Below are 17,494 nucleotides of genomic sequence, written 5' to 3'. Positions count from 1 at the left end.
GCTGCATTCAAATGATAAAGATGGGCCGGGCATGGCATAGTGGCTAATGCCTCTAATCCCAGCACTTTGAGAGGCCAAGATGGGAGGATCGCTTGAAGCCAGGGGTTCAAGACCAGCCTGGGCAACACAACAAGACCCCCATCTCTACAAAAAATAAAAAATTAGCTGGATGTGGTGGTGCACACCTGTTAGTCCCAGCTGCTCAAGAGATTGAAGTGGGAGGATTGCTTGAGCCTAGGAGATCGAGGCTGCAGTGAGCCATGATCGTGCCACTGCCTTCCAACCTGATGACAGAGTGAGACCCTATCTCTAAAAAAAAGAGAGATGAAGTTGTGTGTTTCATGAGTCAACATAGATGGGAAGTTCTCCTGGGCTGGGCCTCTGCCAGTCATCCACCCAGGGAATGAGGGGTGACTGCCTCTATGTCATGCACCTTGTCTTTCCCCATCCCAGAGTCCATATGATATTGTAATGAGACATTTGCTTGATTTATTCCTCCAATACTCAGGCAATCCCTGGGAAATAGCCAAACATTATTGTCTCCATCTATTTTATGGTTAAGGAAATTACTCCAAATCATAGGCCACTGAAACAGCAGGACAGCATAATAGAGTCCTTTTGTTTATTGTTCATTATAGGGTGTTTCCTCTGAGTGGCCAGAGGAAACATCTTCAATGTTGAAGCAAGTATTTCATTCAGTGAGATGGCCTGAGTTGGCAGCTGGAACTGTAGGTAACAAGTTGGGACTGCATGGCCAGGTCTAGCTGATGTGATGGAGCCACAGTGACACCACCTGTGAGAGTGGGTGGGCTGGGGTGGGGTGGGGAGGAAATGATGGAAGCATAATTATTTGAATGAATTTATAATAGCTGCTTAAGGAATTGTGCTTCACTGACCGGAGTCCCACTTGGAAACTTAATTCATTTTTGATCCTTATTTTCTTAAATCATGCTTTACAAATGAGAAACTGAAAGCCAACGTGTAAAGCTTCTTCAAAACCCTCAGCGTTGTAATCAAATGGCTAGAGGGAGGGGCTGAGGCTGCTGTCGGGAGCCTCCAAATAGACCTTGACCCCCTTGTACGGGTCCAAAATTGTACTCAGCAGCCTAGATTCAGGCCCCCACCATTTTTTTTAGACCGAATCTTGCTCTGTGGCCTAGGCTGGAGTGCAGTGGCACGATCTCAGCTCACTGCAACCTCCTCCCCCCAGGTTCAAGCAATTCTGCTACCTCAGTCTCCCAAGTGGCTGGGATTACAGGCATGCACCACCACACCCGGCTAATTTTTGTATTTTTAGTACAGATGAGGTTTCACCATGTTGACCAGGCTCGTCTCAAACTCCTGACCTCAGGTGATCCACCCGCCTGGGCCTCCCAAAGTGCTGGGATTACAGGCGAGAGCCACCACACCCAGTCAGATTCAGGCCCTTGACTTGACCAAGTTGCCCTAAAGAAAGACACTTTAGGGAGTGACTCATACAGACCAAACCCACGAAGACTGATTTATAAGCTAGCATGTGGATTAATTTCTACAATAGGAGACTTTTGTACAGTGTAAATACTCTCAGTGAGTAGTTCTGCTCAGAAACAAGCAAAAATTAAACAAAAGAAGTTTATATAGTGAGAGTTTATCCAGAAAAAGACAGAGAGAGAGATAGGCAAGGTGGAAGTGAAGAAGGAAGACAGAGAGGAGGAGGAAGGGGAAAGACAAGAAAGAGGGAGACGGAGAGAGAGAGAGAAGGAAAAGGAAGGATGACAAGACAGGTAGACAGAGAAAAGAAAAAGACTGAAGGAGGGAAGGAAGGAAAGAAGGGAAGGAGGTGGGGAAACACAGAGGGACAGAGAGAGAAAGGGAGGGAGGGAGGAGGGAAGGAAGGAAGGAAGGAAGGAAGGAAGGTAGGTAGGTAGGTAGGTAGGTAGGTAGGTAGGTAGGTAGGTCGGTCAGTCAGGCAGAAAGACAGAAAGGTGGGAAGTGGCCGGGCCCGGTGGCTCACGCTTGTAATCCCAGCACTTCTATGTGTCTGTCTGTCAGGATATAGGCAACAGCTTCCTCTTCTGTCCTTTGAAAGGAGGCCTAAGGGAGAGGATCTCTTGAGCCCAGAGTTCAAGACCAGCCTGGGCAACACAGAGAGACCTCCTCTCTATTTTTTAAAAATATTTTTACAGGAAGGAGGGAAAAAGGAAAAGCAGGGAGGAAGAAAGGAAAGAAGGAAGGAAGGAGGGAGGGAGGGAGGGGGGAGGGAGGAAAGAAGGAAGGAAGGAACTGGCTTCGATAAACAAGTTGCAGCAGCTACCATGGCGTGTGTACCCTTCTCCCCCAGACACCTCGTCCTTGTTATTAGGATCAGAACACGCATCCTCACAACCTCTTTGCCTTCCTTTTTTCTTTTTCCATATTTATTATCAACCACTAAAATCTCTTCTAATGAGTTACTCTGTTTAATATTAGCTATATTTAGTTTTTTCCCTGAAGACAGAAACTCCCCTCACCTTTTCTATGTGCCTATACAATTTGTTGGCTGGGAAGGTTTCGACAGAGGGCTAATCGTATCTAGTTTATGTTGATTCATATTAATTTCCATTTTAGAAACTTCCATTTCAGAGATTGATATTTCCCGGTGTTTTTCTCCCTCAGTTTTGTGGAGGTGTCACCTCAGAGGAGACCCAAACCACCTCCGGAGAGCAGGGGTCTCAGCCTGTCAATGGAACTTGTTTTCCTGTTAAATGTCTCAGTGTGTTTCATGTGCCCTAATTCCCAATGGCTGTCAGTTACAATATCAGAAATTAAAACCCACGCAGAAATCACATTGTCTTTGTTTTCACTGTCTTCCAGTGTCATCTTGCATTACAACATATAAGAAGACACCACCTCCAGTCCCACCCAGAACTACCACGAAACCTTTCATTTCTATCACAGCCCAGAGTAGCACAGAGTCAGCCCAGGATGCCTACATGGACGGACAGGGCCAGCGAGGAGATATTATCAGCCAGTCTGGACTCAGCAACTCCACCGAGAGCCTGGACAGTATGAAGGCTCTGACAGCCGCCATCGAAGCTGCAAACGCCCAGATCCATGGCCCTGCCAGTCAACACATGGGCAATAACACTGCCACCGTCACCACCACGACTACCATAGCCACCGTCACCACGGAGGACAGGAAGAAGGACCACTTTAAGAAAAATCGATGCCTGTCTATCGGGATACAGGTAACAGCCTCCCTTTCTATCCTTTGAAATAGGAACTTAAAACTAAGGAATGTAACACTTTTTGTTTCCCCGGAAGATTTGCTTTCTTGCCGCTTGGAATCATAGATCTATGCATAGGACCAGATTTTCAAGTGATTGGCTGTGGACTCCGTATACTGTTAAATGTGACCAAGATTATGAAAGTATTTTCTTTTCTTTTTTTTTTTTTTTCATGGTGAGAAGATTTTTTTATTTGAAATATAGTCTGAGCAACATGAGTGTAGCCAAGAGGAGTAGGGGCTGGCCTGCCTGGGGCAGCAGCCTCTCAAATGGCACGAGAGCAGTACAAATATTCCAATGTCTGTGTGCCCCAACCCCACCTGTCAGGAAAGGCAGAACAGCAGAACAAAGACCCACCCACAGCGCCTTCTCAAGGGGTCTGGTTCTTGGTGCCTGCCTGCCTTTGCCTTACCTCCTGCTCTGCCCAGGTTCCAAACAGAGGTGTGCAGCAGAGGCTTCTCCCACCTCACCCACAGAGACATGATAAGCCAGTGTGACAATTAGTTCTCAGGACTATTTTGAGGGAAAAGAATCAGAGAAGACAGGGAGGAGGGCCAAGGTGATCAAGGGCCTCACCAAACCAGACTAGGCAGAGCTCTCCCAGAGGGACTGTGTCAGCACCCCTCATTTCCCTCCTTCTCAGGATCTAAAGGCAGGAAGGAGAGCTGGTGTCTGCAGGAAAACAGGGCTCTGAGGAGCGCCCTGGCTGAAGGCAGCAAGCGGGAACCTCCCAGAAGAGCACAGCCGCTGTGGGGTTCAAGCCTAGTTGACAGCATTGGGGTTGGGCCACATAAGCAGCCTGGGGTTGGAAGGACACAGACAGGAGATGGGGTACCAAGAAGCAGCAAAAAGCCGTAAATAACAGAAGCAAATTCAGAGCTGTGAGGGTCCCGGCCGACCCCACATTTCCTGGGGCTGGGGGATACCCAGCACTGGCAGCTCAGGGCAGACGCTACTGCAGGGTACAACCGGCCACACTCACCCCGGGGGCAGAGCCTTTTATTTTCCACGGTCCGCACGGCAGGTGGAAGACGCTTCGGCACCACCCCTGACCATGCACACTGCAAAGTCTCCGGTCACACCTGAGGGGATGGTGCGTGGCTGTCCTGGTCCTGAGAGGCCTGTGGTTGACTGTGATCATTGTGGCCACCGTCGTCCTCAGGGGCCGGGCCCAGCAATCTCCTCGCCTCTGGGTCAGCCGACAAAGGCTCACCGGCACATTCTTCCAGTCCATTCTCTCTAGTCTCCATGGGCACCTCCTCCCCGGAGCCCTCCTCTGGCTCTGCCACCTCCACTGCCATCTCCGCTGCCGCCGCCTCCTCTTCCTCCTCCTCCTCCTGGTCTCTCACCTTGTGGACAATGAAGAGGTGGCGGCTGAGGGAGCTGGCAGAGGTGTAGCACAAACCACAGAGGAGACATTGGGCTGTGGAGCTGTCCACCTGGTGCTTAGGTATGTGGCTCTGAAATTCGAGCCCCGAGTCTGTGGCAAAACTACATTTCGCGCACTGAAAAAGGGACTTGTGCCTTTTGGTGGAAGAGACAGTTGCGCCATTGCTGGTGCCTGGAGCGTCCCCCACTCCACTGACTGGTCTTTTCAGATGGTTCACCTGAGGGGAATGTCCACCCGGAGGTTTGACTTTGGACGTCTGGCTCAAATCAGGGTTTCTGAAAGTATTTTCTTTGTAGACATTATTAGCAGCTATTATTTTTGTTCTCTAAATTGAATGTGTGACTCAAGCTGCAGGATAATTCAAAGAACATGAACACAATCAAACATGAGGTGCTTTTAATTCCTAACGCACATTTCTATTTTTAGAAAAGAGAGTGGACTTGCAGGAATAGCCGGGGTCATCGAGCCACATAACAGTATGTTCAACACTATTGAATGACCATATGAGAACAAAAATGTGAATCACTTCCCATAGATGTGGGAGTGAAGGCGAGCAAGACCAAAGTGACTGACAGTGTGGAAAGCAATAACACACATCACAGCATCATGAGGAAAGAATGTGCACTAGTTTCAGCCTAATCAAGCATTTCATGAAAATGGTAGAAAACTCAGTAGGCTTCTCAGTTCAGTTCACTGTTTTTCTGCTTTTCAAAGATAAGATCAAACTGATTCCACCTTGTTTCTTTTACATCTGTTTAGCTTGGGTTACCCTGCTAAAAGTGTTCTTCTATCAAAGAAGAAAAATCATCCTCTCTCTCCATTTTTGTTGTGCTATATCAGTCTGCGGGTACCCTTTGAATAATAACTTCTCAATTTGCTGTTGAATAAATCCATCCACATTGAACCCACTCTAAGGCTAATTTAAAAGCCAGGCGTGGCCAGGCACAGTAGCTCATGCCTGTAATCCCAGCACTTTGGGAGGCCAAGGCGGGTGGGTCACCTGAGGTCGGGAGTTCGAGACTAGCCTGACCAACATGGAGAAACTCCATCTTTACTAAAAATACAAAATTAGCTGGGGGTGGTGGCGCATGCCTGTGATCCCAGCTACTTGGGAGACTGAGGCAGGAGAATCCCTTGAACCCGATAGACGGAGGTTGCGGTGAGCCGAGATCATGCCATTGCACACAAGTCGGGGCAACAAGAGCAAAATTCCATCTCAAAAAGAAAGACCGTTTTAACTATTTTTACACCTACAGTTCAGTGGCACTAAGGACATTCACATTGTTGTGTGACCATCACTATACTGTGTGTGTTTAGTGGTGATGATGCACCCACCAAACTATAACCTCCACAGGAAGCTAGATTTTTTAAAACAGTTTCAGAATAATAATAATAATTATTATTTTCACCCAGTAGGATGGAACTAGACTTAAATCCACGTATACCATTGGGGAGAAAAGTTTTTACTTGAGACATTATCTCATGTCTTAAATAGTTGGATATTTTAGTGAATAAAAAAATTGTTCTTATTCTTCCTCTAATCATTGTACACTGCTATGTAAATTATAGCAAAGTACTGAGTACTTTATGTGACTCTCATTTGACTCATCCAACCACCTTATGGCGTAGGTGTTAGGATCATCTCTGCCCTACAGATGAGAGCACAGAGAGGTTGGAAAACTTGCCCAAGGTCACCTGCTTTTTGTTGACAGAGCCAAGATTGTACCTAGTGTCTAACATGATCACATTATACTACTTCTTTGATGGAGAATAATAAGAAAAAAAAAAAATGGCCGGGTGCGGTGGCTCAGGCCTGTAATCTCAGCACTTTGGGAGGCTGAGGTGGGCAGATCACGAGGTCAAGAGATCGACACCATCCTGGCCAACATGGTGAAACCCCATCTCTACTAAAAATACAAAAATTAGCTGGGTGTGGTGGCACACGCCTGTAGTCCCAGCTGCTTGGGAGGCTGAGGCAGGAGAATCACTTGAACCCAGGAGGCAGAGGTTGCAGTGAGCCAAGGTTGTACCACTGCACTCCAGCCTGGCGACAGAGTAAGACTCCATCTCAAAAAAAAAAAAAAATTAAAGACGCAAACTATTCATTGAATTTCGTTATACAGAAATCAAATTTAAATGCAAGTTCCCAAAATATGTCACACTAGAATCTTAGACTTCCTTCCATGCTTTCTCTCTTAGGGCCAGAGTTTCCAATCCTTTACCAAAACTTTACATTTAATTCATACCCAATAGCTAATACTACAACTACTTACTTTATAACCTCTGTGAACTTAGATCAATTACTTAATATTTCTGTATCTCAGATTCTTCATCTGGAAAATGAGAATAATAATAGTCCTTATTTCATATGGTACATTTTGGGTATGGTAAAAATTAATTGATAAAATATATGTAAGGCCGTAAGCACAGTGCCAGGCATAAGTGTTCAACAATTATTAGATTTAGTTGTTATGATTAATATTGTCCTTTAAAATTATAATTAGCTAAATATGCTGAACTAAATATGCCATGGACTTTCTCAATTATTATTTTTTTGGACAGAGATCTCATATCCTGCAACTTCTTTTACAATTTTGAAAGCCACTTTATAAATTTAAGTAGATTACCCTAGATACAATACATAAAAGATGCCATTTGCCAATATTTGGAGCTAAGAGTAAAAAATCACAGATAAATTTATATACAATGACTAAAGCTTAGAAGATGCTAATACTTGATGCAAATGAGCTGGCAGTTCTAGGACCAGTGGGGATGAGGCTTGGACCAGGCAGAGAACAATATCCTCCATTCTTGTTCTGATGAACCCTCCTTCTTTTCTGTCTCCTCTTTTTCATGCATTGAGGATCGTGCTTCTTCAGGGAAATAACTACCATGCGTCTTCTGAACAAATTTCATTGGATAGTTTTATACCACCGCATAGTAGAAGACACAACATCCTACTTTGGCTGACATCCTAAGCGTTTTTAATTTACAAAAGTGTAGTCATATGGAATTGGTTAAAATCTCATCCAGGAAATCACAGACCAGGCTCACTTCTTAAACAGAGACAGTTTAATACACAAAATTGGTTACACAGGTATGGGAAGACTGAGAGAGCAATAAAAGGAACAAGAAGGAAAAGGTGGGGTTACCAGAAGTTTAGGAGCTCAGAAGAAAGGCCTGGGGTAGCCCGTGCTCAGACTGTGAGGTGGCAGGGTCACGTGGTGCTGGGACTTCAGAGTGGTGCAGAGCAGCTGGTGCATGGGCTGTTGAAAGGAGCTGAAGGGCCAGGCACGGTGGCGCACCCCTGTAATCCCTGCACTTTGGGAGGCCGAGGTGGGTGGATCACCTGAGGTGAGGAGTTTGAGACCAACCTGACCAACATGGTGAAACCCCATCTCTACTAAATAAAAAAATTAGCTGGGTGTGGTGGTGCATGCCTGTAATCTCACCTACTTAGGAGGCTGAGGCAGAAGAATCACTTGAACCTGGGAGACGGAGGTTGCAGTGAGCCGAGATTGTGCCATTGCACTCCAGCCTGGGCAACAAGAGTGAAACGCCGTCTCAAGAAAAAAAAAAAGGCCGGGCGTAGTGGCTCACGCCTGTAATCCCAGCACTTTGGGAGGCCAAGGTGGGCGGATCACCTGAGGTTGGGAGTTCGAGATCAGCCTGACCAACATGGAGAAACGCCATCTCTACTAAAAATACAAAAAATTAGCCGGGCATGGTGGTGCATGCCTGTAATTCCAGCTACTCGGGAGGCTGAGGCAGGAGAATCGTTTGAACCTGGGAGGCGAAGGTTGCAGTGAGCCAAGATCGCGCCATTGCACTCCAGCCTGGGCAACAAGAGCGAAGCTCCATCTCAAAAAAAAAAAAAAAGGAGCTGGAGCTGGCTGCGCTGGCTCATGCCTATAATCCCAGCACTTTGGGAGGTCAAGGCAGGCGGATCACAAGGTCAGGAGTTCAATACCAGCCTGGCCAAGATGGTGAAACCCAGTCTCTACTAAAAATACAAAAAAATTAGTTGGGCATGGTGGTGGGCACCTGTAATATCAAGTACTCGGGAGGCTGAGACAGAGAATTGATTGAACCCTGCAGGCGGAGGTTGCAGTGAGCCGAGATCGCGCCACTGCACTCCAGCCTGGGCGACAGAGCAAGACTCCGTCTCAAAAAAAAAAAAAAAGGAGTTGGAGGGTGGAGCCATAGCTACCTTCACATGCAAGAGTGATGCCAGAAGAAGGTGGAAACAGGAAGGAAGTTTCTTCTCTTCTTCCACCTTCCTTTGTTAGAACACAGCTGGAAACCAGCTGACAAGGAGGCCTAGGAAATGTAGTTTGGGAGTCCTGGCCGCAGTGTCGAAGAGCAGCTAAATGTAGAAGATGGGCTCGAGGCTGCTAGACAGTAAGCAAATCACCAAAACAAAGCTCTTTGTCTGATATAATAAATAAATGTGCTGTTTCCTTCAATCAGCATGTGTGTTAAAAGACCTAAAATGGACATGATCCGTGTGCAGTCTTGATTCCTATGTTCTTATGGGAGCACCTTGTGGCACTCTGCTTCTAGAATATTTAAAGATATAAATTTCTGTATAATATGGCACCAAAACAAGTCAAGTACTTTATCTGGTGTTTTTCTTGATACCCTAGTGCTGGGGGTGATGGGGGCATTGTGGGGACTGGCTGCTCTGGATTTAGAGCAAAGTTGTATGTCTAAACTAAAAGTCATAGGCACCTTTAGGATAAATTTTTTTTGTTTTCTTATAATTACAAAGTGAGTAATTCATGTATACAGGATTATTATAAAGAGTTCGTACAGTACAGGAGTGTATAGAGCAAAATATGAGATTTCCCCTTCTTTCCCACTCCCACCTCGTATTCCTACTGTACTCCCCAAAGGTGACCCCTGGCAACAGTTGGTTACATTGTCTTTTAGTCTCTCAAGAGTAATTCTGACTACAGATGAGTTTCATGTACTACCTTTAGGCCCTGACCCCTCTACTTCCTGATGGTACATTATGATTTCCATATATTATCATTTAACTCAATTTGCAAAACAGATGAAAAGAACAGCTTAATCTTCACATTATATGAAATGCAATGGCTTTCTCTATTCTTTGAATTAAAAATAAAAGAAAATTTAGTTATTTTAGATCATACTCTTAAGACTTATTTATTTCCTTTAATACCTGTCCAAGTGTACAGATATATATTAATATTTTATGCTTATGTGAAGAAATAAGTCCAACTGCAGATAATGAAACTTGTCTCTGCCAAGTAAAGTACAAACCAAAGGAATGGTTACTATTTGAAAGAAAGCTTTGAAAAATAAAAAGGCCCATGCATGGTGGCTCACGCCTGTAATCCCAGCACTTTGGGAGGCCTAGGTGGGCAGATCACGAGGTCAGGAGATTGAAACCATCCTGGCTAACATGGTGAAACCCCGTCTCTACTAAAGATACAAAAAATTAGCTGGGCGTGGTGGCGGGCGCCTGTAGTCCCAGCTACTCGGGAGGCTGAGGCAGGAGAATGGCGTGAACCCGGGAGGTGGAGCTTGCAGTGAGCCAAGATTGTGCCACTGCACTCCAGCCTGGGCGACAGAGCCAGACTCTGTCTCAAAATAAATAAAATAAAATAAAATAAAATAAAATAAAATAAAATAAAATAAAAAGGCACATTATCTTGGATTCATAATTTATTGACTTAAAATAGTAAAGGAACACTAAGGAGATAGTTTCAAAACATTTAAGCCTTGAAGACTTTATTTTGATGTCCTCGAAGTCAGCATCAGTGTTTATTTGGAAAGAGATTTTTGGAGGGACCTCTCTCCAGTCAAAACTAATGAACCTTACGGAGATCATTTTAATGAATTCCAAAAAGAAGAAATAATCAGTCATGTTTGCCAACCATGATGCATTAAAATTAGAAATTAACGCTAAACAGATAACAAAATCTAACCATTTGAAAATATTAAAACATCTAAATAACATTTGGATTACGGAAGGAATTCAAGATTATTTTGAAATAAATGACAGCAGGAATCCTATAAATCACCACTATGGGCTGTGGCCATAGTTATGACCTAACAAAAATTTCTAGCCCTATGTTCTTTCATAATTAAGGAAGAAATATTACAATATAAAGTAAACACTCAATTTACAAAGCTAGAAAAAGAACAACAGATTCAAAAGAAGGAATTACAAGTAAAGTGGAATTGATAAACCAAAATTGGTTATTTGAAAATACTAAATAAATAGACAAGTCTGATTGAGAGAGGGAAAATAGAAATCAACAATATTAGGAATGAGAATAGTATATGACCTTTCGAAAAACTATAAAAGATTCTTGTGACAGCTTAATGTTGGCAAATTTTAAAGTCAAAATAATACGTACACTCATGTATATTACTAATACCGATGCAAGAGGGAGTATTAAATCTGGGGAAAGAGGTCAGGCTCAGTGGCTCACACTTGTAATCCCAGCACTTTGGGAAGCTAAGGTGGGTAGATGGCTTGAGCCAGGGAATTCAAGACCAGCTTAAGCAACATAACGAGACCTTGTCTCTACAAAAAGTAGAAAAAATTAGTCGTGCGTGCTGGCACATACCTGAGTGCCAGCTACTTGGGAGGCTGAGGTGGGAGGATCACTTGAGACCAGGAGGTCACAGTGGCAGTAAGCCATGATTTTGCCACAGCACTCCAGCTTGGATGACAGAAACCCTCTGTCTAAAAAATAAATAAATAAATAAAATAAAAACCTGGAGGAAGAAATCTTATAACCATAGAATAAAGTGCAAAAAAAGTGAAGAAAAAAAAAACCTTTCACAAATGTTACGGACTTGGATCATTTTAACAGGAAAGGTTTTCTCAACATTCATGAAGCAAATAATTCCTATGTTATTTAAAGCATGTAATATTACAAAAAAGATCAAGACTCTTTTTTCTTTTGAGATGGAGTTTTGCTCTTGTCACCCAGGCTGGAGTGCGGTGGTATGATCTAGGCTCACTGTAACTTCCATCTCCTGGGTTCAAGCAATTATCCTGCCTCAGTCTCCCGAGTAGCTGGGACTACATCCACGCGCTACCACGCCCGGCTAATTTTTGTATTTTTAGTAGAGACGGGGTTTCACCATGTTGGCCAGGCTGGTCTCAAACTCCTGACCTCAGGTGATCTGCCCGTCTCGGCTTCCCAAAGTGCTGGGATTACAGGTGTGAACCACTGCGCCCAGACAAGATTCTTAATATATTTTAATCAAATAAGCATAACTCTAATACCTAAATTTGAAAGAACACAAGAAAAAATAATTATGGAATAACATGCTTACAAAAATACATGTAAAAATTCTTACCAAATTTGAGAATTAATCAAAGTGTATATATATTTTTAAAAATAATATACCTTTACTGATCTTTTTGTGATTCATCAGCATGATGATTGGGTCTTCACACAAAAGTTTAAGATGTGCCTCCCTCACATCTTATTATCGTGTCAGCATATTTCCTGTCTGAAGTAAGAAAAATGAAATAAAAATAATATACTATTACCAAGTAGTGTATGTCACAGAAATCCAAAGTTATTTTAGCCTTTAGGGGGAAAAGTTTGGTATCAGATAGATAGTAAAAACTATTGCATTTGGTAAAAATCAGAAGCCATTCCAAGTATCAACATGATAAAAAGCATTTATAAGAAACCAAACTAAAGGCCGGGTGTAGTGGCTCACACCTGTAATCCCAGTATTTTGGGAGGCTGAAGTGGGTGGATCACTTGAGATCAGGAGTTTGAGACCAGCCTGGCCAGCATGGCAAAATCCCGTCTCTACTAAAAATACAAAAATTAGCCAGGCATGATGGCACATGCCTGTAGTCCCAGCTACTCGGGAGGCTGAGGCAGGAGAATCACTTGAACCTGGGGGGTGGAGGTTGCTTAGTGAGCTTAGATTGCGCCACTGCACTCCAGCCTGGGCAACAGAGTGAGACTCTGTCTCAGAAACAAACAAACAAACAAACAAACAAATAAATAAATAAAAGAAACCAATCTAAACTTCTGCTTAAAGACGAAATGCTAGAGATATTCCAGAGTCAGAAGTCAAGTAAGGATGAATATTTTCTTAGGCTTATTCAGTGTTGTTTGCCTTTACTGGCCAAGACACAAAGCAAGAAATGAACTGTAAATATTTCAAAACAAAGCAAAATTGCTTTTATTCGTAGATAATATACATGTCCACCTTTAAAATTCTAGCGGAAACCGGGAGGCTGAGGCGGGAGAACCGCTTGAATCCCGGAGGGGTAGGTTGCGGTGAGCCGAGATCGCGCCATTGCACTCCAGCCTGGGCAATAAGAGCCAAACTCCGTCTCAAAAGAAAAAAAAAAAAAAAAAAAAACCTAGAAGAAACCACTGAAAATCCATTAGAATTCAGCAACGTGAAAGAATATAATATAAATACAGAGGAATCAATAACTTATCTATATATTATCAATAAACAAAATATAAAGGTACAAAAATAACCCATTCACAGTAGTAACAAAAACTATAAAACAACACAATTGAGCTTCAGAAATAATATGTAACTCCTATTTGAAAACAATATAAAAACTTACCTTACATAAAATATAAGACCTCCAGGCGGCCGGGAACATTGGCTCACGCCTGTAATCCCAGCACTTTGGGAGGCCGAGGCGGGCGGATCACGAGGTCAAGAGATCCAGACCATCCTGGCCAACATGATGAAACCCAGTCTCTACTAAAAAATACAAAAATTAGCCGGGCATGGTGGACGCGCCTGCAGTCACAGCTATTCAGGAGGCTGAGGCAGGAGAATGGCTTGAACCCCCGAGGCGGAGGTTGCAGTGAGCCGAGACTGCGCCACTGCACTCCAGCCTGGGCGACAGAGTGAGAGTCCCAAGACTCCATCTGAAAATAAATAAATAAGTAAATAACCTCCATGCATGGTCATGCACACCTGTGTCTCAACTACTCAGGGGGCTTAGGCAGGAGGATCACATGAGCCCAGGAGTCTTGGGCTGTAGTGCACTATAGTGATGGGGTGTCCACAGTAAGTTCAGCATCAGTATGGTGACCTGCCAGGGGCAGGGGACCATCAGTTTGCCTAAGGAGGGGTGAACTGGCTCAGGTCAGAAAAGGAGCAGGTCAAAATTGCCCTGCTGATCACTAATGGGATCGACTTTGTGAATAGCCACTGTACTGTAGCCTGGGCAACATAGCAAGATCTCATCCAGCAAATAAATAAATAAAATATAATACTGTAATAAATGGAAAATTATTTACTATTCCTACACAGGAATACTACATAGTAAAAAGACAACAATTTCCTGAAAATTAATACAAATATTTAAAGAAATTCCAATAAAAATTCCAATATGATTTTTATCACTTGGTGGAGGCTAACAGGACGAGCTTGACAATTTGATGTTAAAGTTTACTTAGAAGTTAATACTCCAAAATAACCTAGAGATTTTTGTTTTGGTTTGTTCTGTTTTTAAATTACCTTTTTTTTTTTTTTTGAGACACTGTCTTGCTCTGTCACTCAGGCTGGAGTGCAGTGGCATGATCATGGCTCACTGCAGCCTCCACCTCTCAGGCTCAAGCAATCCTCCTTCAGCCTCCTGAGTAGCTGGGAGTACAGGCGCATGCCACTATGCCCAGCTATTTTTTTTCTTATTTTTTGTAGAGACAGGGTCTTGCTATGTTGCCCAGGCTGGTCTTTAACTCTTGGGCTCAAGCGATCCTCTCACCTCGGCCTCCCAAAGTGCTAGGACTACAGGCATGAGCCACCTCACCTAGCCTAATTATACTTTTTGAAAAAGGAACTACAGGAGGAGACTTGCCATAGAAAATATCAAGACTGATTACAAAATTATATTAGGAAAGGCCAGACATGCAACCAGCACTTTGAGAGGCTGAGGCGGGCAGATCAGCTGAGGTTGGGAGGTCGAGACCAGCCTGGCCAATGTAGTGAAATCCCGTCTCTACGAAAAATACAAAAATTAGCCAGGCATGGTGGCACACACCTATAATGCCAGCTACTTGGGAGGCTGAGGCAGGAGAATCACTTGAACCCGGGAGGTGGAGGTTGCACTGAGCCGAGATCATACCACTGCACTCTAACCTGGGCAACAGAGTGAAACTCCATCTCAAAAAAAAAAAAAAATTTAGGAAAAAGGAGAGGGAAGGTCAATAAGCCCAGCAGATCAATAGGCCAGAAACAGGTCTTTATATGTATGTCACTTAATGACAGGGATACACCTGGGAAAATGTGTTATTAGGTGATTTCGTCATTGTGTGAACATCATAGAAGGTACTTACACAAACCTGGGAGGTAGAGCATACTACCCACTTGGGCTATATAGTATGGCCCATTGCTCCTAGGCTATAAACCTGTACAGCATATGACTATGCAGAACACTGTAGGCCATTATAACATAATGTTAAGTATTTGTGTATCTAACCATAGAAAAGGTACAGTAAAAATACAGTACAAAAGATACAGAATGGTACTTCTGCACAGGACAGTTCCATTATAATCTTATGATCACTATTGTATATGTGCTCTATCGTTAACAGAAATGTCACTATGTGTGTCATGACTGTATATGAGAATGCCTATATGAGAATGTATGGGGAAATATATGTGAGTAAAGTTTGGTATCAGATAAAGCTGGCATCTCAAATAAAAAAGGCGAATTAGTTAATAAACGGAGCCAGATCCATTCATAACCCAAGGGAGGTAGTACAGGAGGGTAATAGTAGATCTCTAGGTATGTGTCTTTGACAGAAACATTTCAGGATGGTGGATTTAAGAATTAAATACGAAAAAAAGATAACATGAAAGCATAAAAGAAAATACAAGAAGACTTTTAAAAATATGCTCAGAGAAAAAGCCTTTCCAAACCATAAAAGCTGGATGTGACTACCTAAGACTCTCTCCAATGAAGGGCAAAGTTTAAAAGACACATGATAAACTGAGAGAAAACTTTTGCAGTATATGTAACAGAGAAAGAGTTTAGGTTCATAAAATATAAAGAGATCCTATGATTAAGAAAATAAAAAACAGCCTAATTAGGGAGGAGACTAGTAAAGGATATGAACAGACAACTTACAGATAGAAACATAAGAAGTCAATAAATATTTTTGTCCAGGTGCGGTGGCTCACGCCTGTAATCTCAGCAATTTGGGAGGCCGAGGCACTCAAATCACGAGGTCAGGAGTTCGAGACCAGCCTGACCAACATGGTGAAATCCCATCTCTACTAAAAATACAAAAATTAGCTGGGCATGGTGGCACGCGTCTGTAATTTCAGCTACTCGGGAGGCTGAGGCAGGAGAATTGCTTGAACCCGGGAAGCGGAGGTTGCAGGAGCTGAGATTGCGCCACTGCACTCTAGCCTGGGGGACAGAGTGAGACTCTGTCTCAAAAATAAAATAAAATAAAATAAAATAATCATTTAGGCCAGGCGTGGTGGCTCATGGCTGTAATCCCAGCACTTTGGGAGGCCGAGGCGGGCGGATCACGAGGTCAGGAGATCGAGACCATCCTGGCTAACACAGTGAAACCCCGTCTCTACTAAAAATATAAAAAATTAGCCAGGCGTGGTGGCGGGCACCTGTAGTCCCAGACACTTGGGAAGCTGAGGCAGGAGAATGGTGTGAACCTGGGAGGCGGAGCTTGCGGTGAGCCGAGATCGTGCCACTGCACTCCAGCCTGGGTAACAAAGTGAGACTCCATCTCAAAAACAAACAAACAAACAAAAATTTAAATATATATATTTAGACATATATATAAAGATAGACAAATATACATCAAATAATTGACAATAATTCTTGGGAGACTTTCTCTTTCTACATTATATATTTCTGTATTTTAATTTTATATAACTTACATTGAATTGTCTTTATATTTAGAGACAACATTTCTTAAACACATAGTAGGAAAACGGAATAAACCTAATAATTCTAAAATTTTCTTCAAATTTGGGTTGGAGCTAATCTGTTGCATAGGTTATTAGTTCTATATGGTATATTTTCTATATAGCTGTAATATACACATAGCTATTTAGAAACTATGGAGTGATATTCAAAGTCAATTCTTTATTTAAGGGGAGAAAAATGAAGACACTCTATAGTTTATCTTAATAAGGTTAATATCTAAATCTCCCAATGTCAACAATTATAATTACAATATATAAATTTTCCTCTTTATTTTGTATGTTGTTATCTTCAAATTCAAAACTTCCAGGCCGGGCGTGGTGGCTCACGCCTGTAATCTCAACACTTTGGGAGGCCCAGGCGGGCAGAACACTTGAGATCAGGAGTTTGAGACCAGACTGGCCAACTTGGCAAAAACCTGTCTCCACTAAAAATACAAAAATTAGCCGGACATGGTGGCACACACCTGTAATCTCAGCTATTCGGGAGGCTGAGGCAGGAGAATCCCTTGAACCCGGGAGGCGGAGGTTGTAGTGAGCTGAGATCACACCACAGCACTCCAGCCCGGGCGACAGAGGGAAACTCTATTAGAAAAAAAAAACTTCCAAGAACACATTTCCATGTAGATTCCCTTCTAATATAGTATTTACAGTAAGATACTTAAGTCTAAGTACAGACTTGCAAATCTGTGGAGGAATCATAAACATTTATCAGCTACCTTGAGAGTGGATAAAATTGCATTTTACTAACAGCAACAGAGTCAAAGAGCGTGCAGTGAAGGTAGTGTACACAAATATTGAACAAGGAGGTTATAAATTACAAAACATTCCAGTCATATTAGAGATTTTTCTCATAAAATGTGATGTTTGTTTTTCAAGCAAGATGACTGAAATGGAACAACTCTATTTATTTGATGATTTC

The 17,494-nt window shown here is 42.9% G+C and overlaps 1 protein-coding gene, 1 non-coding gene and 2 pseudogenes across 34 annotated transcripts in view, besides 2 other annotated features; 3 read left to right on the top strand and 1 right to left on the bottom strand.

Annotated features, from left to right (window-relative positions):
- DLGAP1 (DLG associated protein 1) overlaps positions 1-17,494 on the top strand; it is a 959,276-nt gene that overhangs the window by 870,227 nt on the left and 71,555 nt on the right. For 31 of the 33 annotated variants that reach the window (NM_001398527.1, NM_001398526.1, NM_004746.4 and 28 more), the window contains one exon: positions 2,833-3,206. In NM_001398527.1, the coding sequence (NP_001385456.1) occupies positions 2,833-3,206 (374 nt within the window). The remainder of the gene's footprint in view (positions 1-2,832; positions 3,207-17,494) is intronic. The other 2 variants (NM_001242762.2, NM_001398546.1) reach the window with 1 other exon arrangement.
- On the bottom strand, positions 4,125-4,914 carry LOC100419892 (zinc finger protein 592 pseudogene; annotated as a pseudogene).
- Positions 8,113-8,612: an enhancer, noted in NCBI's record as "H3K27ac hESC enhancer chr18:3576467-3576966 (GRCh37/hg19 assembly coordinates)". NCBI's record gives its function as "activates a minimal SCP1, AML or CMV promoter by ChIP-STARR-seq in naive H9 embryonic stem cells {active_cell/tissue: H9 hESC(naive)}" and the evidence as "EXISTENCE:reporter gene assay evidence [ECO:0000049][PMID:30033119]".
- Positions 8,613-9,114: an enhancer, noted in NCBI's record as "H3K27ac hESC enhancer chr18:3575965-3576466 (GRCh37/hg19 assembly coordinates)". NCBI's record gives its function as "activates a minimal SCP1, AML or CMV promoter by ChIP-STARR-seq in naive H9 embryonic stem cells {active_cell/tissue: H9 hESC(naive)}" and the evidence as "EXISTENCE:reporter gene assay evidence [ECO:0000049][PMID:30033119]".
- Positions 12,038-12,141, top strand: LOC124904373 (small nucleolar RNA U13). Its single transcript, XR_007066490.1, has one exon. It is a non-coding gene; the product is annotated as a small nucleolar RNA U13 (small nucleolar RNA).
- Positions 13,570-13,866, top strand: RN7SL39P (RNA, 7SL, cytoplasmic 39, pseudogene; annotated as a pseudogene).

Source organism: Homo sapiens, chromosome 18, assembly GCF_000001405.40.
Source record: "Homo sapiens chromosome 18, GRCh38.p14 Primary Assembly".
Classification (NCBI taxonomy): domain Eukaryota; kingdom Metazoa; phylum Chordata; class Mammalia; order Primates; family Hominidae; genus Homo; species Homo sapiens.
The sequence above is the reverse complement of the archived record's forward strand: the minus strand, read 5'-3'. Positions and strand labels throughout refer to the sequence as shown.